This window comes from Homo sapiens, chromosome 2 (assembly GCF_000001405.40).
Source record: "Homo sapiens chromosome 2, GRCh38.p14 Primary Assembly".
NCBI classification, from domain to species: domain Eukaryota; kingdom Metazoa; phylum Chordata; class Mammalia; order Primates; family Hominidae; genus Homo; species Homo sapiens.
The window spans coordinates 201058936-201085987 of record NC_000002.12 but is presented as its reverse complement, the minus strand read 5'-3'; the positions used below and the strand labels follow the sequence as shown (position 1 = coordinate 201085987).

The 27052-nt window shown below is 40.9% G+C and overlaps 2 protein-coding genes and 3 pseudogenes across 21 annotated transcripts in view, besides 5 other annotated features; 1 reads left to right on the top strand and 4 right to left on the bottom strand.

Annotated features, from left to right (window-relative positions):
* On the bottom strand, positions 238-13987 carry NDUFB3 (NADH:ubiquinone oxidoreductase subunit B3). Of its 4 annotated transcripts, none has more exons than XM_047444488.1 (4): positions 13929-13987; positions 12835-13709; positions 6966-7107; positions 238-529 (listed from the first exon to the last, which is right to left on the bottom strand). In XM_047444488.1, exons 3-4 carry the CDS (start codon positions 7103-7105, stop codon positions 373-375), a joined length of 297 nt encoding a protein of 98 aa, XP_047300444.1. In that variant the 5' UTR covers positions 7106-7107; positions 12835-13709; positions 13929-13987; the 3' UTR covers positions 238-372. The 4 variants fall into 4 exon arrangements, with proteins under 4 accessions (XP_047300444.1, XP_011509532.1, NP_001244031.1 ...); XM_011511230.4 differs by having other exon boundaries at positions 13627-13709; NM_001257102.2 differs by having other exon boundaries at positions 13627-13649.
* Positions 6044-6146, bottom strand: RNU6-1206P (RNA, U6 small nuclear 1206, pseudogene; annotated as a pseudogene).
* Positions 13465-14088: an enhancer, noted in NCBI's record as "NANOG-H3K27ac hESC enhancer chr2:201936623-201937246 (GRCh37/hg19 assembly coordinates)". NCBI's record gives its function as "activates a minimal SCP1, AML or CMV promoter by ChIP-STARR-seq in primed H9 embryonic stem cells {active_cell/tissue: H9 hESC(primed)}" and the evidence as "EXISTENCE:reporter gene assay evidence [ECO:0000049][PMID:30033119]".
* Positions 14089-14714: an enhancer, noted in NCBI's record as "NANOG-H3K27ac hESC enhancer chr2:201935997-201936622 (GRCh37/hg19 assembly coordinates)". NCBI's record gives its function as "activates a minimal SCP1, AML or CMV promoter by ChIP-STARR-seq in primed H9 embryonic stem cells {active_cell/tissue: H9 hESC(primed)}" and the evidence as "EXISTENCE:reporter gene assay evidence [ECO:0000049][PMID:30033119]".
* Positions 14225-14314: an enhancer, noted in NCBI's record as "active region_16973". NCBI's record gives its function as "activates an Ori minimal core promoter by ATAC-STARR-seq in GM12878 lymphoblastoid cells {active_cell/tissue: GM12878}" and the evidence as "EXISTENCE:reporter gene assay evidence [ECO:0000049][PMID:35858748]".
* HYCC2 (hyccin PI4KA lipid kinase complex subunit 2) overlaps positions 14317-27052 on the top strand; it is a 97954-nt gene continuing 85218 nt past the window's right edge. For 7 of the 17 annotated variants that reach the window (NM_001321618.1, NM_001321624.1, NM_173822.5 and 4 more), the window contains exon 1: positions 14317-14378. The gene's annotated coding sequence lies outside the window, so the exon portion shown is untranslated. Of the gene's footprint in view, positions 14535-24563; positions 24682-27052 lie in introns of all 17 variants that reach the window. The other 10 variants (NM_001321621.2, XM_006712443.4, NM_001321619.2 and 7 more) reach the window with 2 other exon arrangements.
* Positions 14335-14604: an enhancer, noted in NCBI's record as "active region_16972". NCBI's record gives its function as "activates an Ori minimal core promoter by ATAC-STARR-seq in GM12878 lymphoblastoid cells {active_cell/tissue: GM12878}" and the evidence as "EXISTENCE:reporter gene assay evidence [ECO:0000049][PMID:35858748]".
* Positions 14705-14844: an enhancer, noted in NCBI's record as "active region_16971". NCBI's record gives its function as "activates an Ori minimal core promoter by ATAC-STARR-seq in GM12878 lymphoblastoid cells {active_cell/tissue: GM12878}" and the evidence as "EXISTENCE:reporter gene assay evidence [ECO:0000049][PMID:35858748]".
* RPL23AP30 (ribosomal protein L23a pseudogene 30) lies at positions 18746-19168 on the bottom strand (annotated as a pseudogene).
* Positions 21740-22962, bottom strand: HNRNPA1P35 (heterogeneous nuclear ribonucleoprotein A1 pseudogene 35; annotated as a pseudogene).

Below are 27052 nucleotides of genomic sequence, written 5' to 3'. Positions count from 1 at the left end.
GCCAACTCCCATTTAAATACTTGTTAGTGCCAGCTAGGTCAGGACTAGTTAAAAAAAAAAAAAGAAAAAGATTAAAAAAAAACTTCTTAGAACATGCCCATTTGCTCAGCCAAATATATGATGCCTGCCTGCTATATGCAGAACGCACTACTGCTGTTCTCCAACCCCCTATGTATTCTAAACCAAATCTGATATGGCTTGAGACACTTTTTTTTTTTTAAGAATGACAAAAGCAGATTGGCATATATATATATTTTAATTGATTAAATCTTACTAATATTCTGTAAGGGATAAACCAGACAAGTAGGCTACAGAGAAGAAATCTTATTTTGGAGAGTTAAGAAACCACTATGATGCTTCCAGGTATTATCTTCAGTGATGCTTCTTATCTTTATTCAGGGACTCCAGGTAATATTCAGCTCCTACAGCTACCACAAATGCAGCAAATCCCCATTTGAATCCTTTAAAGAATACATCAGAAAAGGAAACACTCTTTGCAAAGCCACCCATGTATCTCCAAGCTTCATTGCTAGAAAAAAAAAAAGAAAAAATTATAATCATACACAACGTGTGTGTATATACGTTGAAGACATTTAATTTTCATCTTTCTAATTGACTTAAATGCTACCCTACAGAAGATCATTTAAGTGAATCGCAATAGGAATCTTTCTGTGGCATAGGATAATTAAGTATATGCCCAAGTTTCACATATAAAATAGAAGAATAAACACTTGATGGTTTCACATTTAATAGTCATATGCCTCAGGATTTTACAGAACCCTCAAATGCAAGACTCACGTCAGCTTATCTGTCACAGGTCAGATGGGCTCTGCCCACACTAGTCATTACAACATCACGGAAAGATGAAGTTAGAGACTTGGTATTAATCTTTGGTATGCCACTTATATTAGATTCACAATCTTGTAGGCTGGGCAAGATGCTTAGCCTGTCATGGTCTGCTTCCTGTTCTATTCAATGATGATTATTATCTACTTTATAATATCATAAAGACTAAACAGGCTCATGCATGATATATTTTGGCAGAGGAGTATGGAGTATGTAACACTTGACATTACTGTTACTATTCAAAAGGATCTCTGCTTCTCCCTACCATAGCAGCCTGAATTTTGGAAGATTGATACCCTGCTCTGGTCTGATAAGGACAAGCCAATGAAAAAATCATGTTATGAAAAACAAAAACTATTTAACTCTAGAAATATGACTTAGGAAATACGAGAGCTAATTAAATCTAATTGGGATACCAAAACCAGACAAAGATGTTAGAAGAAAAGCAGCTACAGAATACTATCCCTCATGAACATAGATGCAAATATTCTTTTTTTGGCGGGGGCGGATGGAGTCTTGCTCTGTCACTGAGGCTAGAGAGCAGTGGCACAATCTCAGCTCACTGCAACCTCCACCTTCTGGATTCAAGTGATTCTTCCACCTCAGCCTCCCAAGTAGCTGGGATTACAGGCACACACCACCATGCCCGCTAATTTTTGTTTGTTTGTTTGTTTATTTATTTATGACAGAGTCTCAATCTGTTGCCCAGGCTGGAGTGCAGTGGTGTGATCTCAGCTTACTGCAACCTCTGCCTCCCAGGTTCAAGCAATTCTCTGCCTCAGCCTCCTGAGTAGCTGGGATTATAGGTGCCCGCCACCATGTCTGACTAATTTTTGTATTTTTTTTTTTTTTGAGATGGAGTCTCGCACTGTCGCCTGGGCTGGAGTGCGATGGTACGATCTTGGCTAACTGAAACCTTCACTTCCTGGGTTCACGGGATTCTCCTGCCTCAGCCTCCCCAGTAGCTGGGATTATAGGCGCACACCACCACATCCAGCTAATTTTTTGTATTTTTAGTAGAGACGGGGTTTCACTATGTTGGCCACACTGGTCTCGAACTTCTGACCTTGTGATTCACCCACCTCGGCCTCCCAAAGTGCTGGGATTACAGGCATGAGCCACCGCGCCCGGCCAATTTTTGTAATTTTAGTAGAGACAGGGTTTTGCCATGTTGGCCAGGCTGGTCTCAAACTTCCAGCCTTAAGTGATCCGCCTGCCTTGGCTTCCCAAAGTGCTGGGATTACAGGCATTAGCCACCACACCTGGTGCAAATATTCTTAACAAAATTTTAGAAAACTGAATCCGACAGCATATAAAAATGGTAATACATCATAATGAAGTAGGGTTCACTCCAGGAATGCAAGATTTGTTTATATTTGAAAATTAATAGAAGTAACTCGCCATATTAACAGAATAAAAAGGAAAAACTATGAACATCTCAATAGATGCAGAAAAAGCATTTAACAAAATCCAATATCCATTAATGGTAATAACAGGATGGGCACGGTGGCTCAGGCCTGTAATCCCAGCACTTTGGGAGGTCGAGGCGTGTGGATCACCTGAGGTCGGGAGCTTGAGACCAGCCTGGCCAACGTTTTAGTCTCTACTAAAAAAACAAAATTAGCCGGGTGTGGTGGCACATGCCTGTAATCCCAGCTATTCGGGAGGCAGAGGCAGGAGAATCGCTTGAACCTGGTAGGCAGAGGTTGCGGTGAGCCAAGATCTCGCCATTGCACTCCAGCCTGGGCAACAAGAGCAAAACTCTGTCTCAAAAAAAAAAAAAAAAAAAAGAAATAATAAACAATGAAACACTTAGTAATCTAGAAATAGAGAGAAATTCCTCATCTTGATAAAAGGCACCTAGGAGATCACTGTAAGAAACATCATACTAAGTGGTGACCCACCAAATGTTTTCTCCCAGTTGGGAATAAGGCAAGGACGTCCACCACTTTCATTCAACATTATAGTAGTGGTGTTAGCCAGTACAAAAATGCAAGAAAAAGAAATAAAAAGTTTACAGATTGAAAAGGAAGAAGTAACAATGTATTTGTAGACAGAATGATTGTTTATGAAGAACATTCTAAGAAATCTGTAAAAAAAATCTACTTGAACTAAAAAGTGAATTTAGCGGCCGGGCGCGGTGGCTCACGCCTGTAATCCCAGCACTTTGGGAGGCCGAGGCGGGTGGATCATGAGGTCAGGAGATCGAGACCATCCTGGCTAACAAGGTGAAACCCCGTCTCTACTAAAAATACAAAAAATTAGCCGGGCGCGGTGGCGGGCGCCTGTAGTCCCAGCTACTCGGGAGGCTGAGGCAGGAGAATGGCGTGAACCCGGGAAGCGGAGCTTGCAGTGAGCCGAGATTGCGCCACTGCAGTCCGCAGTCCGGCCTGGGCGACAGAGTGAGACTCCGTCTCAAAAAAAAAAAAAAAAAAAAAAAAAGTGAATTTAGCAAGGTAACAAGATATAAACTCAACATATAAAAGTCAACTGTGTTTACAAGTATTAGCAATGAACAACTGGAAGTTGAGATTTTAAAATACTATTTACAATAGCATCAAAAATTAAAATAATTCAAGCTGGGTGCTGTAGCTCAGATCTGTAATTCCAGCACTCTGAGAGGCTGAGGTGGTCAAATCACATGAGCTCAGGATTTTGAGACCAGCCTGGGCAACACAGGAAAACCTCGTCTCAACAAAAAATACAAAAATTAGCTGGGCATGGCGGCATGCACCTGTAGTCCCAGCTACTCGGGAGGCTGAGGTGGGAGGATGATTTCAGCCCACGAGGTAGAGGCTGCAATGAGCCAAAACGGCATCATTGCACTCCATCCTGGGCGACGGAGACTCCATCTCCCAAAACAAACAAACAAACAAACAAACAAACAACGCCAGGCCTGATGGCTCAAACCTGTAATCCTAGCACTTTGGGGGGCTGAGGCGAGCGGATCACTTGAGGTCATGAGTTCAAGACCAGCCTGGCCAACATGGTGAAACCCCATCTCTACCAAAAAAATACAAAAATTAGGCCTGGCGCGGTGGCTCATGCCTGTAATCCCAGCGCTTTGGGAAGCTGAGGTGGGTGGATCATGAGGTCAGGATATCGAGACCATTCTGGCTAACACAGTGAAACCCCATCTCTACTAAAAAATACAAAAAATTAGCCGGGCATAGTGGTGGGCGCCTGTAGTCCCAGCTACTCGGGAGGCTGAGGCAGGAGAATGGTGTGAACCCAGGAGGCGGAGCTTGCAGTGAGCGGAGATCGTGCCACTGCACTCCAGCCTGTGTGACAGAGCGAGACTCCATTTCAAAAAAAAAAAAAAAAAATTAGCTGGGCGTGGTGGTGCACGTCTGTAATCCCAGCTACTCAGGAGGCTGAGGCAGGAGAATTGCTTAAACCCAGGAGGCAGAGGTTGCAGTAAGCCAAGATTGTGCCACTGCACTCCAGCCTGGGTGACACAGTGAGACTCTGTCTCCCAGAAAAATAAAATAAAATAAAATAAATAATTAATTCAGTATAAATTTAATAAAATATGTGCAAGACCTGTACGTAAAGCAATAAAATACTGCTGATAAAATGAACAAGACCTAAATTGCCCATTGACTAGAAGACTTAATATTGTTAAGACATCACTTATCCCTAAATTTTTTGTTTTCTTTAAGATGGAAGCTTACTCTGTTGCCCAGGCTGGAGTGCAGTGGCACGATCTTGGTTCATTGCAACCTCAGCCTCGCGGGTTCAAGTGATTCTCCTGTCTCAGCCTCCTGAGTAGCTGGGATTACAGGTACCCACTACCACACCTGGCTAATTTTTGTATTTTTAGTAGAGACAGGGTTTCCCATGTTGCCCAGGCTGGTCTCGAACACCTGACCTTAAGTGATCCACCCGCCTCGGCCTCCCAAAGTGCTGGAATTACAGGTGTGAGCCACCATGCCTGGCCCCTAAATTGATGGGAATCTGATTCAATGTGGATGTGAAATAGATTCCCATTGTGAATCTATGTGAAACAGATTCAATGTGATCCCAATTAAAATCCAAGCAGGGATTTTAATAGAAATTGTCAGGTTCATTCCAAAGTTTATATGTAAAAGCAAAGGACCTAGAATAGCTAAAACAATTTTTTACAGGTTGGAGATCTTGGCTGGGCACGGTGGCTCATGCCTGTAATCCCAGCACTTTGGGAGGCTGAGGCGGGTGGATCATGAGGTCGGGAGATCCAGACCATCCTGGCTAACACGGTGAAACCCCGTCTCTACTAAAAATACAAAAAATTAGCAGGGCATGGTGGCAGGCACCTGTAGTCCCAGCTATTTAGGAGGCTGAGGCAGGAGAATGGCGTGAACCCGGGAGGTGGAGCTGGCAGCGAGCCAGATTGAGCCACCACACCCTAGCCTGGGTGACAGAGTGAGACTCTGTCTCAAAAAAAAAAAAAAAAAAAAAAAGTTGGAGATCTTATGCTATGTAATTTAAAGACACTGTGGTATTGGCATAAGGGTGGACATATTAATGAGGGTAACAGAGTACAGTCCAGACATAGATCCCATAGATACAGTCAATTGATTTTTTTTTCTTGAGGCAAGGTCTCTCTCTGTTGCCCAGGTTGGAGTGCAGTGGCCAGATCTTGGCTCACTGCCGCCTGGACATCCTGGGCTCAAGTGATCTGCCCACCTCAGCCTCCTGAGTAGCTGGGACTACATGTGTGTGTCATCACATCTGGCAATTCTTAAAATTTTTTTGTAGAGACAAAGTCTCCCTGTACTGCCTAGGCTGGTTTCAAAATCCTGGGCTCAAGCGATCCGCCTGCCTTGGCTTCCCAATGTGCTGGAATTATAGGTGCGAGCCACCACCCACATTGAGTGTCAAAAATCACTCAATGGATTTTTGACAACATTATTAAGGTAATTCAACGGAGGTACAATAATTTTTTAATAAATGGTGCTGGAGCAACTGGATGCACATATGTAAAAATACTAATCTTCATCCTTACTTCATATGACACAAAAATGAACTCAAAACAGATCACAGAATGTAAGAAGAACTATAAAAGCTTCTAAAAGAAAGCATAGAAGATAATCTTAGGGTGCAAAAAGGATACATTGTAAAATTTAAAAATTGCTAAATTGTGAATTCATCAAAATTTAAAACTCTCTGAAAGACATTATTCAGAAAATAAAAAGATAAGCCACACTGTGAGAAAAAACATTTGCAAACCTTAAAAAAAATTGTTTTAAATCCTTGCACAGGGCCATACTAACTTCTCTGTATTACAATTTTAGTATATATGTTTCTGAAGCAAGCACCACAAAACTTTTATCTGATAAAGGACTTACACTCAAAACAGGTGAATTTTACTATATATAAACGATAGCTCAATAAAGTCGATTTTAAAATTTTAATGTGGCTAGGTGTAGCGGCTCATGCCTGTAATTTTAACACTTTGGGAGGCCAAGGTGGGCAGATCACTTCACCTCAGGAATTTGAGACTAGCCCGGGCAACATGGCAAAACCCTGTCTCTACTAACAATATAAAAATTAGCTGGGCATGGTGGCCCATGCCTGTAGTCTCAGCTACTAGGGAGGCTGGAGTGGGAGGATTGCTTAAGCCTGGGAGATGGAGGTTGCTGTGAGCGCACCACTGCACTCCAGTCTGGGTGACAGAGTGAGACCCTGTCTCAAAACAAACCAAAAACTTTTAAAGTAGCCAGGCGTGGTGGCTCATGCCTGTAATCCCAGCACTTCGGGAGGCTGAGGCAGGTGGATCACGAGGTCAGGAGATCGAGACTATCTTGGCCAACATGGTGAAACCCCGTCTCTACTAAAAACACAAAAAGTAGCTGGGCTTGGTGGCGCGTGCCTGTAATCCCAGCTGCTTGGGAGGCTGAGGCAAGAGAATCACTTGAACCCGGGTGGCGGAGGCTGCAGTGAGCTGAGATCGCGCCACTGCACTCCAGCCTGGCAACACAGCAAGACACCGTCTCAAAAACAAAACAAAAACCAAAAAAAACCCTTTAAAGTAAAAAGCCATTTTTCATGATTCTCTAAGGAGAATACATTGAAAAGCAACATAGACACTTGATTCTCTAGGATACATTCTATCTAAATTACTTAATTCATCTTACCGGCCCCATGGATCCCTTAGCCCTTTTGCAGCCAGCTTCTTCTGGATAGTTTCTAATGGTGTCCCTTCTATCTTCCATTGTCTATAATCTGGAAGTTCCATTTTATGATGTCCATGCTCATGTCCATGTTCATGGGCCATGTCTGTAAGGAAAAGATTAACACAAGTGAGAAATATGCAAATTGTAGATATCAAATACCCAAATTTATTGTTTATGTTTTAAGGTAAAGCATTTAATATTAAAAAAAAAAGCCAATATAAATACTTGAAAATTCCAGTTAAAGGATTTTATAAAAGTGTCTTATTCTACAACCATGTTCACAGTTAGGAAATACACATACACAAAATATAAAAAAGAAAAATAATTGGCAATCTCATCACTCAGAGATAACCATTTACTATCTGGTTCTTTTCTTCATTATAATAATAGTAAACATTTGCTAAAATGCTTTATGTGTATTAACTCCAATACCTCTAAAACAACTCTTTATAAATAGTAAACATATGCTAAAATGCTTTATGTGTATTAACTCCATTACCTCTAAAACAACTCTTTGAACTTAAATAATGAGTATCCCCATTTTACAGATGAGGACAATGAGACTCCAAGCAATTAAGTAACTTTCCAAAGGTAACAAAAATAGTAATGGTACAGCTGGGATTAGAACCTTGCAGTTTGGTTTTAGAACCCTGCTCCTAACTTCTTCTTCTTCTTATTTTTTGAGACGGCGTCTCGCTCTGTCGCTCAGGCTGGAGTGCAGTGGTGCAATCTTGGCTCACTGCAAGCTCCGCCTCCCGGGTTCACGCCATTCTCCTGCCTCAGCCTGGCGAGTAGCTGGGACTACAGGTGCCCGCCACCACGCCCGGCTAATTTTTTGTAATTTTAGTGGAGACGGGGTTTCACCATGTTAGCCAGGATGGTCTGAATCTCCTGACCTCGTGATCCACCCACCTCAGCCTCCCAAAGTGCTGGGATTACAAGTGTGAGCCACCGCACCCGGCCCCCTGCTCCTAACTTCTAAGCAATATTGTTTTCCTTTTGAATCCTTTCATAATGCATAAATATGTATAATAAAAAGGTTATACATCCTGTTTTAAAAATTTTCTTTAGATGATTCTTTTAAAATGCAATGCTTTTAAATACATATGATTACATGAAAGGTTTCTTTAAAGAGGCAGATCGTAAATATTTTAGGCTTTGTGGGTAAAAGAGGTAAAATTGAGGCAATTATGTAGGTACATTTATAGGAAGAGAAAACACACTACCGCAAATACCTTATTGATAAAATTCAAAATGTAGTAAGTAACTGACTACAAATTTTTTTGTAATACAGGTCTACTGACGAAAAAAATGGAACTCCCCTTTTGGGGGTAACATTCTACTTAACTGGAGCTCAAAGTTAGTGATCCTTAGCATCAAAGTCATTACAAATGTTCATTTGTAAAAACCATTCTTAGCTCATGGACCTTACAAAAACAGGCACTGGGCTGGATTTGGTCCACAGGCTGCAGTTTGCCGATCCCTGAACTGGGCCAACAGATACCTTAGGACTCCTTTTTAATCAATAAATTTGCTTCCTTAATTAAAACATGTCCTCAATGGTTATATAAATACTTTGGTTTTACTAGTGTTATTTTAATATATAATATAAAAATAAACCAGCTCAGTCCTCATTTAAATTGCTAATTCAAATTAAGGGGTATGGCTTAGTAACACTATACTATAATTTGTGTAAGGTTGGCAGTAGCAATCCTTTTATTTTTTTTTACATTTTTATTTTTCTAATTACTTGGCAAGCAGTAGCAATTCTATAATCACTGCTTTTCCGGAAGTAAAATCAAGTAAATATTACCATTATGTCCATATTTATAACTATGAACAGGCCCAATAAGGTAGGATTTCTTTTCTTTTCTTTTGTTTTTGAGATGGAGTTTTGCTTTTTGCCCAGGCTGGAGTGCAATGGTGTGCAATCTCGGCTCACTGCAACCTCCGCCTCCTGGGTTCAAGCGATTCTCCTGCCTCAGCCTCCTGAGTGGCTGGGATTACAGGCATGCGCCACCATGCCCGGCTAATTTTGCATTTTTAGTAGAGATGGAGTTTCCCCATGTTGGTCAGGCTGGTCTCGAACTCCTGACCTCAGGTGATCTGCCCGCCTCCGCCTCCCAAAGTGCTGGGATTACAGGCGTGAGCCACTGTGCCTGGCCTGGTAGGAATTCTTACATTGCATCTCAGAAGAGAGAGGTAATTATTAAAAAGTGTATATTAAAGACACATTATTGGGAGGCTGAGGGATGAGAATCGCTTGAACCCAGAAGGCAGAGGTTACAGTGAGCCAAGATGGTGCCACTGCACTCCAGCCTGGGCGACAGAGTGAGACTCTCTCAAAAAATAAGTAGTTCCAAGATATGAGAAAAAAATTGTACATACTAACTGTGAAAAACCAACACTTATTATTTGTAAACATGTTAAGATACTAAAAAACATTATGTTGATGATTTTCACATTTAATTATATATATATATATATATATATATATATTTAAAGATAGAGGGTCTTGCTCTGGATCATAGCTCACTGCAGCCTCAAACTCCTGGGCTCAAGTGATTGTCCTGCCTCAGCCTCCTGAGTAGCTAGGACTGGAGTGTGCACAACGCCTGGCTAGTTTTTAAATGTTTTATAGCGATGGACCCTCCCTATGTTGTGCAGGCTGGTCTCAAACTCCTGGCCTCAAGTGATCCTTGATCCTCTGGCATAGGCCTCCCAAAATGCTGGGATTACAGTGGGATTACAGCCACACCCAGGAGGATTTTCACATTTAAATGAAAATGAAAATGAAAACCGATACTCTCAAACACAAGTTAAAATTACAACACAACTCTGAATGAAACATTTAACCCATTATTACTTGGTAGATTCAATAAAATGAAGGAAAAAAATTATGGTGTCAGACTTCAGACTGACTTTTGAGACTGAATACATTTATTACAAACGAAGACCATTACAAGTGTTTATTTAGAATGATAATGTCTTGGCTTCTGCATACCATGTTTTCAAAAAATCTTTTTTAAAATAAGGCTTCATTTTAAAAACACTTAAAACAAGACAAACCCTTATTTTGGCAAATGTCAATTCTAGAATATCAACCTGAGTATCAGTGTATTTGGAAGAGAGTATAAAACAAAGGGTCAAGAATTTTGATAGAATAGTTTTTGAAAATAAAACTTGAAACATTACCATGGTATAAAGACTATTTCAAAATTACAATACTACTGTGCTTAAACAAGTAATTTGAAAGATAAATCTTTGAAAGAAAACATGAAAGCGTACATACCCTCATTTCTCCTATACAAGTTTATTTAAATACATTCAATGTATTTTCTCTTCTACCTAATTATTTCAGAAGTATCCTTTTCATAGGAATTTACTAAATATACCTTTTTTTTTTTTTTTTTTTTTTGAGACAGAGTCTCGCTCTGTCGCCCAGGCTGTAGTACAGTGGCGCAATCTTGGCTCACTGCAACCTGTGACTCCCAGGTTCAAGCAATTCTCCTGCCTCAGCCTCCCGAGTAGCTGGGACTACAGGAACCCCCCACCACGCCTGGCTAATTTTTTGCATTTTGTAGTAGAGATGGGGTTTCACCGTGTTAGCTAGGATGGTCTCGATCTCCTGACCTTGTGATCCGCCCACCTGGGTCTCCCAAAGTGCTGGGATTACAGGCATGAGCCACGGTGCCCGGCTAAATATAACATATAAATGACTTTTCAAAAAGAGCAGAAAGTTGAAAACACTTTCTCTAGGAAACCTTTCATTTTCTTTTTTCTTTTTCTTTTTTTTTTTTTTTTCAGACAGGATCTTCCTATGTTGCCCAGGCTGCTGTTGAACTCCTGGCCTCAAGCATTCCTCCCTCCTTGGCCTCCTAAAATATTGGGACTACAGGCGTGAGCCATGGCACCTGGCCCATTTTTCTTTTTAAACTTATTTCTATTTCCAAATAGCCATAAATCAAACAATGATATCGTGACCTGTAAAGTAAGAGCTTGAAATTCTCCTACTTTGCACTAGTAAAAGTAAAATCCAAGGCAAATCACTTAATTTCCCTGAACTTCAGTTTCTTCATATAACATGAAGATAAAACCTACCTTGCAAGATCGTGAGAGCTGAGGAAAACACATTGTGATGTGCCTTCTACTTTCATACTTAGGTGGTGAGAATGTAACTAAGCACAACCATTCTGAAAAACTGGCAAGACCTAGAAAGGCTGAACATGGCTGGGCGCAGTGGCACACGCCTGTAATCCCAGCAATTTGGGAGGCCAAGGCAGGTGGATCACTTGAGGCCAGGAGTTGAGACCAGCCTGGCCAACATGGGGAAACCCTGTCTCTACTAAAAATACAAAAATTAGCCAGGTGTGGTAGCACACACCTGTAGTCCCAGCTACTCAGGAGGCTGAGGAATGAGAATCACTTGAACCCAGGAGGTGGAGGTTGCAGTGAGCCGAGATTGCGCCACTGCACTCCAGCCTGGGTGACAGAGTGAGATTCTATCTCAAAAAAAAAAAAAAAAAAAAGCTGAACATATGAATACCTTATGGCCATCAATTCCACTCCTAGTACATATATTCTAGATAGACACTGTCCAATATGGTAGCCACTAGCACTTGAAATGTGGCTGGTGCAGTTGGGAACTGGGAATTTTAATTTAATTTTAATTAACTTAATCTCAAAACAGATGATCAAATCGTTATTAGAAAATATTAATGTGTCTTTGGAGGCCAGGAGCGGTGGCTCACGCCTGTAATCCCAGCACTTTGGGAGGCTGAGGCAGGTGGAACACCTGAGGTCAGGAGTTCAAGAAAAGCCTAACCAACATGGCAAAATCCCGTCTCTACTAAAAATAAAAAAATTAGCTGGGCATGGTAGCACATGCCTGTAGTTCCAGCTATTAGGGAGGGTGAGACAGAAGAATCACTTGAACCTGGGAGGTGAAGATTGCACTAAGCCGAGATCGCGCCACTGCACTCCAGCCTGGGCGACAGAGCGAGACTCTGTCTCAAAAAATATACAAATAAAATAAATAAATAAAAGTGTCTTTGGAACAATTTGGATATATGAATCTACTTTATCAACTGTAAATCTTATAAACATAATCACAGATCAAAGGTTTATATTTATGGAATATAAAAAATATATTTAAAATATTTTCTTAGAGACATCAAGCCTCTAGTCTTTAAAAAAAAACAAATTTTTTTTTTGAGATGGAGTATCACTCTGTCGCCAGGCTGGAGTGCAGTGGGTGGTGCAATGTCGGCTCACTGCAACCTCCGCCTCCCAGGTTCTAGTGATTCTCCTGCCTCAGCCTACCGAGTAGCTGGGATTACAGGCGTGCACCACCACACCCGGCTAATTTTTTGTACTTTTAGTAGAGACTGGGTTTCACCATGTTGGTCAGAATGGTCTCGATCTCTGGACCTCATTATCCGCCTGCCTCGGCCACCCAAAGTGTTGGGATTACAGGCGTGAGCCACCGTGCCCAGCCTAAGAAATATGTTTTTAAAAGAACCTTTATAGCCACATTGTTTATTCTCTCTCCCAACTGTAAACAACCCAAATGTCCAATAACAATAGAAGGGATTATGGTATAGTCACACTGTAGAATATTATACAACAAAAAACTACATGCAAAAGTGTGATTGAATCTCCACAAATATGGATAATGAGCAAGGGGTGAGTCAGAAAAAAATACACATGCACTCTGAACCCATTTATATAGATTGAAATGCCTAACAATTCATTTTTTAGGAATTCATCATAGACGGAAAAATTAAAGTAAAACAAGTGAGTGCTTAGCACAAGTCAGGATAATGGTTACCTCTTGGTGGAGGAGATGGAATCACAGAAACATACTGGGAGATTCTAAGGCAGTGTTTTTCAACCAATTTTTAACTATTGTCCCTGTAAGGAACCTTTCTAGACATTTTATTCCTAATCACACCCCCCGCCATGAAAATTTAACACTACATATATACTGTATAACTGTTTATATACTGTGGCCCTTTGGAGGGACACAAATCATTGTAGTAACTAAGATTCCGACCCCGGCCCCACCAATTTTCAACCCCTTGAAATGTAAAATCACCCCTGTTAAGACTGCATGTTCTAAGTTATTGGCAATGCTTTATTTTCTAATCTAAGAGGTGGATACAGGAGTGTCTGCTTCTGTTAGTTATAATTTTTTAAAATGTATGTTTTATACACCCTTCTGTATATATACTTGACAATAAAAAATAAAAATAGAAAAATTGACTTAAATTGTGCTGAGGACTGAAAAATGGTGGTTATTTCCGTTTCAGAGCAGCTCAAATAATAACAGTAAGGAAATTAGTTAAATAAAGAAAAAACATGCAACCAAAAATTTTAAAAGCTATCTATGTCTGAAGTGAATCTAAAAGTCTCATGAAGATCAACCTCCACTAAAGGAAGCTGGCTCTAAGAAAATGTGCTGGTATCCTTTCCCTAAGAAAGAAATAAGAAGATAATGCTACTTCCACTACATGCAATTTTAGTTTACCGAAGACTATCAAGTATATATCTTAACTTCCTCGTATTAAAAACTGTGATTATATGAATATTAGAACATAAAAAACAAATGAACTGTTATTACTTTTAGTGATGCTGTTCTTCTGCCTTTGCGATCCAAAGGCAAACAAAGACAATTTTGCGTGTGGCAGAAGCGGGAACAAGCACCTGGATTTAACAACTACAGTAATGATCACTGAATCCTCCAACCACCTCTTCCTACCCCAACTCTAAACTAGGACTTCATTAGTTCTCGCCTGCTAGTTCTTTGATCTCCCTCCCAGCCTCCCATCCTTCTCCATTTAGTCTCTCCTTTTCTGCACTCCCCAGAATAGAGTCTAGCTCTTAATCCTAATCAACGGGCCTCCCACCAACTCCCTAATTTACCTGACAGCAATCTGACCTCTCAGGACACTCAACTCTGCAACCGGAGCCAACCGGAAACGGAGGTTGTCACCTCGAGTTTCTCACGGCAGGAAAGCGGAGAAGCCGCTTAACGTTCCGATACTGGGTTAGAGATTCCTGAATCAGGTAGAGACTACATGAGGGACGCTGGAAGTCGATTATTTTCCCAGTATATGTGCATCCTCAATCTGACTGAGGTAACAGATACTGTAGAAAAGAGAAGGGCGGGGAAGATAATATGTTGTCCTTGCTTGGGGACGGAATCCTTAGACACCGCACACAGGGCGGGGCTGCCGGCATACTGCAGCCAATAAGGGAGGCTGTTGTTGAGAGCGTGTTCTCACCCAATGAGAGGGTTGGTTGTTGCGCTGCAGTTGGCAGGCTGCTGCGGGAGGCGGCGGCGGTAGGAAGCCGGAGACAGCAGGGTGACAGGTAGGCGGCGGTGCTGTCTTTGGGGGAGGCAAAGTGCTAGATGAAGAGGGGTTTTCTTCTCCTTCGGCCGCGGAAACTACAGACGGGAGCTGGCGAGGGTGGTCTGGAAAGGCGGTAGCCGGTGTGTTGGTGGTCCCGGAACCTCTCGTAAACCAGGTAGCATCTTGGGAGGGTCGTGAGGAGGAGAAGGCGGCAGCCGAGGCGGGTGGAAGCCGAGCCTTGTGGGGCGACGTGGGGGCCCACCTAGGGCGTGGGGGCTGCGGTGGCGCCAGCAGAGAGGGAGGAGAGGCGGGAGCAAGGCGGTGTCGTGAGGGCTGAAGGGATTCTTTGCACAAAGCCCCAGGCGAGAAAAGGACACGGCATTGAAGACAGTTAAGAGAAATCCCAGTGATTGCTTCTTAGGGCCATTTCCTGGGGGTGGTGAGGGGGAGCGGAGAAGAAAAATATTTACTGGCGGTCAGATTCTGAACACTCATTATTGCTGTACATTATGTAATCTTTGGCTGTTATTTACCCAAACAACTAGGTTGTCCCTCCTGGGAGAGGAGGTCTTGCAACCTATTAATGTGTTAGAACACTTTTTTCATTGGCTTGAGTGCCATTTACATTGGCAGGTTCTCTAGGCGAAGGGTGGTAGCATGGAGGATAGAGTAGTCACGAAGAGCTTATCCCAATTATGGACTTGACAGATACTAGTTTGCGATGAATGTGGCCAGGTTCATGTTTTGTAGTTCGTGAATTTATTTGAGGGTCAAGGCTGACAACATTTTTTAAAGATCTTCAGAAAAGTGGGGAATCCTTTAAAAATGTACAGTAGGAGCTCAGTGTAAGTTGGAAAATGACTAGAAAATTAGTTGGTAGATCCCTTCCTCCCCCCAGGATATTGTGGAAGTTAGGGACTGTGCAAATAAGGTGGTGGTCTGAATATGGGGAAAAAAATAAACTTTTTTTTTTTTTGAGACGGAGTTTCGCTGTTGTTGCCCAGGCTGGAGTGCAATGGCGCGATCTCGGCTCACAGCAACCTTCGCCTCCCGGGTTCAAGCCATTCTCCTGCCCCAGCCTCCGGAGTAGCTGGGATTACAGGCATGCGCCACCACGCCCGACTAATTTTGTATTTTTAGTAGATACGGGGTTTCTCCATGTTGGTCAGGCTGGTCTCGAACTCCGGACGTCAGATGATCCGCCCGCCTCGGCCTCCCAAAGTGCTGGGATTACAGGCGTGAGCCACCGTGCCCGGCAGAAAAAAGTCAACTTTTAAGTAGTTTGTTCTGTAAGCAAGTCTGAGAAGCTACTTATGAATTATTTATTAGGTTTAAAAAGTGGACTCTGAACCTCTCGGACAGAGGCAAAATATATTTATAGATATAATTAACTAAATTATCTTATTTAAAAAAATTTTATAATTCATTGTTTCCACAATAAAATGTAGAATTAAAATAGGAATTCTATTCAGTATGTGTTATGGAAGGGCAAACGACATAAAAACTTGATTTTGTAGGTCATTGAAAAACAATTTTGAGAGCAGCACTGGAAAATGATTTTAAAAGAAGTGTTATAAATTTCTAAAATGTAAGGTGTTTGAAATATTGCCTTTAGCTTAGGAGATAAGGTCTAATGTAGTGTCAGCAACTCTACAATTTTCCTAAATTTATTTCGGTACTGCATGTCAGAAAAACTTTATAAGATGTGATTTTTTTCTATTAATGGTAATTTATATTCCTATATATGAACCTAAATCAAAATTTCATTTTTTCTCAAAAATTTAATTGGGAAAGAGGTGCATCATTAAAGTTGTTTGTTCCCAGATGTTCTCAGTACTGAGACATTTGTCAGTGCTTTAGATAAAAATTTTTATTGATGTTTGGTGTTTTGTTCTTTGTCTTTTCTCCTTTTCCAAGAATAATGCAATCTCAGTCACAAAGAAAATTTCTGGTTCTATTTTAGGTGGAATTCTGTAGTGTTTTGAGTACCAGTTAAATCTTTGCTTTTATGCGTGTGTGTGTGTGTGTTGCTTTTATGCGTGTGTGTGTGTGTGTGTGTGTGTGTGTGTGTGTGTGTGTGTGTGTTTCTTCTTATGTAACCAGCCTACTAGAGCTGTCTTAGAGAACTAATGGCTGATTTTGAATGGCCAGTAGGTGTCATTGTAGAATGCAGTAAGTTGAGTATCGAGTAGGAAATTACCAAGTAGCTAAAGAAACACTAGTCCAAATTAGCATATAGTGTGGTTAGATGATCGTTTATACGTTATAGAAGTTCTCTCTGATGAAACATTTCAGTATTGGAGCTGTTTATAAGGAATTTGAAACAATGATTGTAAAGGAGTTTAATTGTTTGCCCTAAAATAGACCTTGAAAGTGTGTTTTTTAGCCCGGCCCTTTAACTGTCTTGACATGCAATTCAGATTTAAGTTTGATTATTTGCAATACAGTTTTGGCATCTTGTAGTAGTTTATTAAGTTCTAGAATGATTGAAATTTTCAGCTTGACTGAGTCTTATAGAAAAACCAATGCTACATAGTGAAAAACTGATAAAATATGGGCAGAAGTTTCAAAACTAGTTATCATACCAGTACTTTGTATTGTTCTTTTTTTTTCCCCTTAGAGATCCTTGTTCCGAGTTACTGTTCTTTTAAAGCCAGAACAGAAGATTTTTTTGTCTGTCATCGTCTGTGGCTTATTATCTTTTTTTTGATTTCCAGAATTGCTTCTTTTTACACTTTATCTGGTCAGTAGCCTATGTTCTTTTCTTGGGATGTGGAACTGAACATTTATCACTGACTAAAATGTAGTGGATTCTGGAGGGAGCCAGCACAGAAAGCTCTGAAAGTAGCTTACATCTGTTCCGAGTACAGCTCCTTACCTTCCTAGCCTTCTGTTGAGCCCTTGTCACTTTGTAGCTCTGCTCCTTAAGCCTGTGATAGATACAGTGTTTTGAAAAAGTTTGGACCTAATTTAAGAATTCTTCATGGAGTTGGAAATAGATACCTCAAAACAATTTAGGAGTTTTTAAAAAGGCATACACATATCACTTATATCATCTCCACTTCCCTTCAGAATTTTACGGATGGGAGGAGTGTGAAGGGGGTAGATGTATTTTGGAAACAAATTCCCTTGATTAATTTGGTTCACCACTGGCTTCCACTTCAGAGTGGAAGTGCCTTGGTCTAATTCAAGGCTCTAGCACTTGTGGTATGAAGCAGTAACAGTAGTTTCAGCTTTAGAGAAAGGGCTGCCAAATCTACTAATTTACTAATACTTTTATAGCTCAATAAATTGTCACCATTTCATGTCATAGCTAGGATAGCTTTTTTTTTTCTTTTTTTGAGACGTAGTTTCACTTTTGTTGCCCTGGCTGGAGTGCAGTGGCGCGATCTGGGCTCACAGCAACCTCTGCCTCCCGGGTTCAAGCCATTTTCCTGCCCCAGCCTCCGGAGTAGCTGGGATTACAGGCATGTGCCACCACGCCCGGCTAATTTTGCATTTTTTTTAGTAGAGACGGGATTTCTCCAAGTTGGTCAGGCTGGTCTCGAACTCCGGACGTCAGGTGATCCGCCTGCCTCGGCCTCCATAAGTGCTGGGATTACAGGTGTGAGCCACTGCACCCAGCCTGTCATAGCTAGGATAGTTTTTCTAGCCGGGAGCTGGAGTTGCCAGAAATGAAAATTGTGCTGAATGTTTTGGTTTGGATTAGTTCTTACTTGGCACTTAGCTGCTTTCCATAAATCAAACTAATTTATTTCATGATTCAGACCTGTGCTAATTTGTATAGACATTTATATCCTATTCTCTTACTGTCCCTGAAAGCTATCTAGTTCTAGAATTAAACTAAAATTGGAAAATAAGAGTTGGAGTAATTCAAGGTCCTTTTCTGATAATGCTATATGATGAATATATGCATTAATCTTTGCATTAACATTCACTCAGTAATATATACTAAAAGTTGGCATTGCAAATATGTTTACCTTGACTTGGGTCCAGTTTAGAAACTTACGGTTCATCTTTGTGAATTCTAGACTTTCTGTTTGGGTATCTGGCTGCCATGGAGACAAATCTGAGAAAAAGTATGAGTAGATTTTAATTTTAGAGAAAAGCATAAAAACTCAATTATGTAATATATTAAGAGGTGTGACTTTGATTATTTATAGAATTATAGTACTTTCTAGGTTTGAAATATAACTGCCAAAAAAGTGGTCATAAAATATGGTAAGTGGCATCAATTTATTGAATGGCAAAGCATGGTTTACAGAATATCTGTTTTGTCCTATTTTGACACATGAAACTTCAAACAGTGTTAGAATCAAATTTATCCATCACCTTTGTCATTTTGAATACTTAACTGTTGATAGTGCTTGATTCTTTTTTTTTTTCTGGTGAGAAGATACTAATATATATACTTAGAATTAGCCAGCCGAACTCAGTTTAGATGATCCCAATTTTGTTGACAACCTCCAAAGCATCATAATCAGGAGCCAGTCAAACATAAGCCTTCTTCTCTTCATCAGGTCTGATCAGGGTCTTGATCTTGGCTCATCAATGTTATGGAGCTTCTTTGTAGCCTATTTGACCTGGTGCTTGTTGGCTTTAACATCCACAATGAACACAAATATGTTGTCTTCTATCTTCTTCATGGTGAACTCTGGTCAGCAGGAACTTGATGATGGTATAGTGGTCAAGCTTCTTTCTCCTTGTATCCTGCTATCTTACAAGGATATTTGGGCTGCCTATGGGGCTGCAGTGCCTTGGGCCACCGGGACGTGGGTGACTTGCGGATCTTCTTTTTTTGTGTATGTGTTTGATGCCACTTACCATATTTTATGACTACTTTCAGCCTTTCAGCACTGCTTTCTTGGCCTTCAAAGCCTTTGCTTTGGCTTCTGCTTTAAGATGGGTAGGAGCTTCCTTTTTCGCCTTCGGCACTATCTTGTGAAAACAGTCTCCCTGATTCTTAATTAATATAGACTTGTTAGCTACTAAGACTTGCCAATTAACCTCCTTAAATTCCTTTCCATATTATATATAAAATGGATGAGAGAGGCAAGTTAGATACTGAGCAGGTACTGAAAGTTATAATTTTTCCATATTCTTTTGTATTGGGGCTTTTTAATCTGTGTATTCGTTCTTTATTTATTTATTAGTTTATACTTTTTAAATGAAAAAAGGTGTGGGGATGGGAGAGAGTATACTACTGTCCTTTCTACATTATAGGGTGACTGTAAGACTCAAATAGAAAACATAGTGGCTGGGCACAGTGGCTCACGCCTGTAATCCCAGCATCTCGGGAGGCCGAGGTGAGCAGATCACTTGAGGTCAGGATTTCGAGACCAGCCTGGCCAACATGGTGAAACCCTGTCTCTACTAAAAATACAAAAGTTAGCTGGGCACGGTGGTGCACACCTGTAGTGCTAGCTACTGGAATGGCTGAGGCAGGAAAATTGCTTGAACCTAGGAAGTGGAGGTTGCAGTGAGCCAAGATTGTGTGCACTCCAGCCTGGGCGATGAAGTGAGACTCTGTCTCCAAAGAAAAAAAAAAAAGAAAAGAAAACATGAAGGGCTTTTATAAAATCTAAAGTTAATTTGAATTTGCAGTATTTTACAGTATCTGCTATTTATGGAAAATACTAGGGGAAATGAATATAAAACTTAAGACTCAAATGTTTCTGTTCCTTAAGGTTCTGAATCTTCTCTCATTTTATGCTTTGTTACTCTGTGATTTTTTTATTTAATTAGCATCCAAATATGATGGTTCTCAATCTGTGTCTCTAATCCAGAGCTTTCCCTTTAACTTTAGTTCCTATTCTATACATGTAATTGCCTGCTAGATGAAGATGAGCTACAGGTCCTTCAACTATAATATGTTTAAAAGTGAATTCATGTTTTCCCTTTTGTCATCTTTCTAACCTGCTGGAGCTGGAACCCTGATGTTATCTATCTTTAACCCTTACGCTTCATCTGAGCAATGCTAGGTTCTGTTGACTTTACCTTCTTACTCTTTCTTTGATTCCATTTACTTCTCTCAATTTCTGTAGCTGCTAGAAATATTATGAAGAATTAGGGCCTAGAGGCAACTATCTAGATTAGAATCCTAGCTCCGCTATTTACATCTCAGTGTCCTTATCTTTAGAAATAGAGTTATACAAGCCAACAATTGCAGTCTTGGGCATTTGTTCCAGAGAAACTGAAACTTACATTCATATAAAAACCTGTGTGAATTCTCATAGCATCTTTATTCCTAATAGCCAAAAACTGGAAACCTAAATGTTCTTCAACAGGTTAAATAGACTATAGTGCATCTATATCATGGACTGCTATGCAGCAATAAAAAGGAATGGACTGTTAATAAAATGTAACAACTTGAATGGGTCTCAAGTGAAAAAAATCTCAAAATTGCATATTCCATGATTCCATTTATATAACATTCTTGAAATACTAAAAATAAAGAGATAGAGAACAGATTCGTGGTTGCCATGGTTTAGGTATCAAGGAGAGGGGAGTGGGTGGGACTACAAGAGTGTCTTGGTGACAGAACAGTTCTGTATCTTGATTGTGATGGTAATTACATGAGTCTACCTATGTGATAAAATTGCATAGAGCTATACACACACGTATACATGAGTGCTTGTAAAACTGGTTAGATCTGAGTAAACTTTGTAGACTGTAGCAATGTCAATTTCCTGGTCTTGATATTTTACTGTAGTTATTCAAGGTGTTCCCATTGAGGGAAAATGGGCAAAGGGTACATGAGACCTGTTGGCAGTTTTTTTTGCAACTTCCTGTGAGTCTATAATTTCAAAATTAAAAGTTTTTAAGAAGAATTGTTAGGATTAAATGAGCAGATACACAGAAGATTTTTTTCCAGAGAATTAAATCGTTTATTGATTACACATGATAATGGATGATACACAAGCTTCATTCCCATCTATAATTTTATCTGGTACCATTATTCAATTTAGATATATTGCATAGGATGTGCCAACAATCACTTTTATAACCAATAATTCCATGATTTTGCTTGGGTAATCCCTTTTAATGGTGAACTTCAGGTCACAACAGTAACTATCAGTTCAACTACACCAAGGTTTCCGAAGACAATAGCTTCTCCACCCAAGCAGGTTGTATATAAATTCCAAATAGAACCTGGCATCACCCTGAAGGAATTCTAACTTCACACTGTTGGGGAAATTTACCAAGATGGCTTCAGAGTAGACTAACTTTACACAGCACATTAAAAAAAAAGACATTTATTCAGCGTCACGATCAGACTATTACATTTAGCAATCAACAGCATGGGTGCAAAAAAAAAAATCTACATTAAAACCCTTTGTTGGAATGCTTTACACTTTCCACAGAACAGAAACTAAAATAACCTGTTATACAATTAGTCACAAATACAGTCCTCGAGTTTTTTGCCCATACACATGAGTATTTGTCTAAAACATGTCTTCTTTGTAGCAGCTAGGCCCTGCCACCACTGTGCTTGGCTGAGTTCACAAATCTGTTGTAACCTGTAGCTTCCCTGTCACTTCTCTGGCTCTCCTCTCCTGCTAAGCTTTGTTTCCTAATTAAAATCTTCTGCCACTGCCATAGCTACTGCTACTGCTGGAACCGCCATAGCCACCTTAGTTTCGTGGTTTTGCAAAGTATTGGCCTCCACCGCCATAGGGGCCAGAGCTTCTGCCTCCAAAATTTCCTCCCTTCACGGGTCCAAAATTTGAAGACTGATTTTTGTAATTGCCAAAATCATTGTAGCTTCCACCACCTCCAAAATGGCTTCCATCATTACCAAATCCATTATAGCCATCCCCACTGCCATCATATCCACCACCACCACGGCTGCCACCAAAGCCACCATGACCACTGAAGTTTCTTCCATGACCAAAGTTGTCATTCCCACTGAAACCACCTCCACGACCACCACCAAAGTTTCCAGAACCACTTCGACCTCTTTGGCTAGATGAAGCACTAGTCATCTCTTGCTTTGACAGGGCTTTTCTAACTTCACAGTTGTGGCCATTCACAGTGTGGTATTTCTGAATGACAATCTTATCCACGGAGTCATGGTCATCAAAGGTTACAAAGGCAAAGCCCCTTTTCTTCCCACTGCCTCGGTCAGTCATGATTTCAATCACTTCAATTTTTCCATACTGTTCAAAATAATCTCTTAGGTGATGTTCTTCAGTGTCTTCTTTAATGCCACCAACAAATATCTTTTTCACAGTTAAGTGGGCACCTGGTCTTTGAGAATCTTCTCTCGAGACAGCTCTCTTTGGTTCCACGACTCTTCCATCCACCTTCTGTGGCCTTGCATTCATAGCTGCCTCCACCTCCTTCACAGTGGCATATGTGACAAACCCAAAGCCCGTGGAGCACTTGGTGTTTGGATCTCTCATTACCACACAGTCTGTGAGCGTTCCCCGTTGCTCAAAATGGCTCCTCAGGCTCTCATCGGTTGTTTCAAAGCTCAACCCTCCAATGAAGAGCTTCCTCAGCTGTTCGGGCTCTTTAGGAGACTCTGACTTAGACATGACGGCAGGGTGAAGAGAGACTTTAACGATGCTTCTTCGGCGGCGTCCACGGGCAGAAAGGAGAAGATTTTTATTATAGTACTTGATGCATAATAAATGTTAGCTGCTATTAATAGTAATAGCAGCAGCAGCAGCAGTAGTAGTTGTTCAGGCCTCTAACCTCTCAGTAGGCCTCTCACTAGGACCATTTCAACAGTTGCCGTATATATATGTTTATATATATTATATATATAAATCTAATTAATATATTTAATAATTATTATTATTTTTGGAGACAGGGTCTCACTCTGTTGCCCAGGCTGGAGTGCAGTGGTGCGATTATAGCTCACTGCAGCCTCAACCTCCTGAACTCAAATGATCCTCCCATCTCTGCCTCTTGAGTAGCTGGGATTACAGGCGCTTGCTACCACTCCTGGCTAATGTTTTTTTTTTTTTTGTGAGACAGAGTCTCGCTCTGTTGCCCAGGCTGGAGTGCAGTGGCGCGATCTCAGCTCACTGCAAGCTCTGCCTCCCAGGTTCATGCCATACTCCTGCCTCAGCCTCCCAAGTAGCTGGGACTACAGGTGCCCGCCACCACCACGCCTGGCTAATTTTTTGTATTTTTATTAAAGACGGGGTTTCACCATGTTAGCCAGGATGCTCTCGATCTCCTGACCTTGTGATCTGCCTGCCTCGGCCTCCCAAAGTGCTGGGATTACAGGTGTGAGCCACCGCGCCCGGCCTCATTTTTGTATTTTTAATAGAGACAGGATATGTTGGCCAGGCTGGTCTTGAATTCCTGACCTCAAGTGATCCACCCTTTTCAGCCTCCCAAAGTGCCAGGATTACAGGCTGGAGCCACCATGTCTGGCCAGATTTCTATTATAATATAGTAATTTCCTCCCACCAGTTTTGCCAGTTGATCTTTTATTAAAGATAGTATACCTTTGTATTTGTATTCCATAATATTACAATATGTGCTTTTACTTTATTTTATAATTTTTTGAGACAGGGTCTTGCTTTGTTGCTCAGACTGGAGTGCAGTTGTGTGATCGTGGTTCACTGCAGCCTCGACCTCCCAGGCTCAAGCAGTCCTCCCTCCTCAGCCTCCCAAGTATTTGGGACCACAGGCATGCACCACCATGCCCAGTTGATTTTGTCCTTTTTATAGAGACGAAGTCTTGCTTTGTTGCTCAGGCTGGTCTCAAACTTCTGGGCTCAAGTGATCTGCCTGCCTTGGCCTCCCAAAGTGCTGTGATTACAGGTGTAAGCCACTGCACCTGGCCAGAATGTGTACTGTTTTATGCAAGTCTGTTGGGTAGGCCACAGAGAGATCAGTTTATTTTCCGTTTTCTTTAAGAATGAAAAACAGTCTAAAAAATGACAGTCAGTAAAATAATTTGTGAAAAGATTTTTCTGAATTAAATTTTAAATTTAAAAATTTAAAAATTTTCTTATTCAATAAAAATAAAAAAAAAAAAACTATAAGTATGAAAGACTTCAAGTGGCAGCCAGGAAGAACTGGTTCAAAGTATTTATGAAGTATAAATAGAAAAGTCTGTATAATATGCAGGAAAATCAGCCTTAATTGATTATGATTGTTGTGCTACAGCAGTGTTTTTTTAAAACTTGAAGGAGGTTAATCTGTAGAAGAGTCAACTATTTTATTTTATTTTTTTTTTCAGATGGAGTTTCGCTCTCCCAGGCTGGAGTGCAATGCTGCAGTCTCTGCTTACTGCAACCTCCACCTCCCGGGTTCAAGCGATTCTTCTGCCTCAGCCTCCCAAGTAGCTGGGGTTAAAGGCATGTGCCACCATGCTTGGCTAATTATTAGTATTTAGTAGAGACAGGGTTTCACTATGTTAGGCTGGTTTCGAACTCCTGACCTCAGGTGATCCACCCACCTTGGCCTCCCAAAGTGCTGGGATTACGGGCATGAGCCACCACCACACCCAGCCAACTTTTTTTTTTTTTAATTTGAACAAGTTTTAAACAGCTAGTTGAACATCTTCCATTAAAATGTTCCTTTTTTTTTTTGATAAACTATTTATTTTCTTAACCCATTATTTTCATGTAATTTGGCTTTTCCAGTTACAGTTTTGTAAGCCACATTGCCTTTTTAGAACATAACTACCAACTGTTGGCAAAAAATTACAGTACTGTAGTATGAAATTTGTTAGTGTACTAAAGTACTCTAAACATCCATCCATATGTTGTACTCTCCAAGAGTAGAATCTCTTTTTTCAGTCTTGCTTCCTACTCTACCCCTCCCATTTCAGTAGAAATATCTTATACTTTATGAACATTAAGTTGAGGCATAGCTGAGATGGCTGTTGGTGTTTTAGAATACAAATTTGTTGCTGGAGTCTCTTTTTTGCTTTATCAGTTAGGAATTGTGTTTGGCTGCCGGAAACAGAGATAAGAAATAACCATTGCTTAAAGTAGTTAATTTGGTAAAAAAAATTCAGACGTAGGAGATCTAGGGCCTATATGGCAACTCTGTGGAGTTGTCAAGGGCACAGGCTGCTTCTGTCTTCTTCTTTCGCCATCTTTAGCATGTGTCTTCTACTTTCAAGATTACCTAATGGTTGCTGGACCTCCAGCCATCACATTTATGTTCTAGGCAGAAGAAAGGAGGAAGAAAGGCATAGACAAAAGGGCTATATCTCTCATCTTTTAAAAAAACCTCTCTAGAATTTCCTACACAACACTTCTTCTGATCTCATTGACTGAAACATAGTCATTTGGCTATACTTAGCTACAGGTAAGGTTCAGAAATGGCTTTTAGCTGGTCATACAAACTAGATTAGTGAGAGTGGAGTAAGGATCTATATTGGATGGAAACTAGTAATCTTTGACATACTTGCTCCTTATCTTCTATACTGTATCTGCTGCTGACCGCCTAGTAGTGCTGTTAAGCTCTTCATTCAATAGACATGAATTAAGTGCTAACTATGTACTAGGTCCTGTTAAGAACCGGAAATGCAAATGCAAGTGAGGCATACTCCCTGCCCCAGAAAAGTTGTGGTTTAGTAAGAAGAACCCCCCCCCCCCCGCTTTTTTTTTAGACAGAGTTTTGCTGTTGTTGCCTAGGCTGGAGAGCAGTGGCGCAATCTCGGCTCACTGCAACCTCCGCCTCCCGGGTTCAAGTGATTCTCCACCTCAGCCTCCCAAGTAGCTGGGATTACAGGCATGTGCCACTACGCTGGCTAATTTTTGTATTTTTAGTAGAGACGGGGTTTCACCATGTTGGCCAGGCTGGTCTTCAACTTTTGACCTCAGGTGATCCACCCGCCTCGGCCTCCCAAAGTGCGAGGATTACAGGCATGAGCCACTGCACCCAGTCAATAAGAGGGCTCTTCAACCTGCACACAGGTCTTTGACAACATAAGATGTTGAGTACTATGGGCTGTTGTGACTATGATTCTGCCCACCCCATCAATTTATGAGGCTTAAGAGGGAGAAGGGGAGAGGCCTTCTTTGGAAGGGGAGTATTAATGGAAAGAAACTATTCCCTGCTCTGTGAGGGGAAAGGAAAGGGTTTTTTCCTTCCCAAAAGTCAAGATAAGGAGGTCCTGAAAGAGTCACTCTCTGTCATTAAGAAGAGAGATTTACATTTGCTCTTTGGTTGGGTATCTGCCTAGCCACCAATCTCACTTATATGCCCCTGTTCTACTGAAGAAGACATGGTAATGGAATGCCTGATACCAGGGCCAGGCATTCCCATCTATAACTTGGATTCCTGTTCTGAGAGGTATAAGAGATGGATTCTGCATATATCCTTAGGTCATTCTGAACAAGTCAGGAACTATATTCATCAGGGTTTTCCAGAGAAACAGAACCAATAAGGTTGTGTGTGATTTATTATAAGGTTTATTATAGGAATTGGCTTACACAATTTAGGAGGCTGACAAGTCCCGAGATCTGCAGGGTAGTTGGCAAGCTGGAGACTCAGGAGACCTGACTGTATAGTTCCAGTCAGACACAGTCCAAAGTCCTGAGAACCAGAGATAACATAGTAGCAGTCACTCAGGCTTGAGACTCTGAAGAGCTAATGTTTCAGTTTGAGTTTGAAGGCTGGAGAAAGCCAATGTCCTTAGGCAGGAGGAACTGACTCTCTACTTGGGGGAGGCTTAGCCTTTTTGTCTGTTCAGGCTTTCCACTGATTAAATGA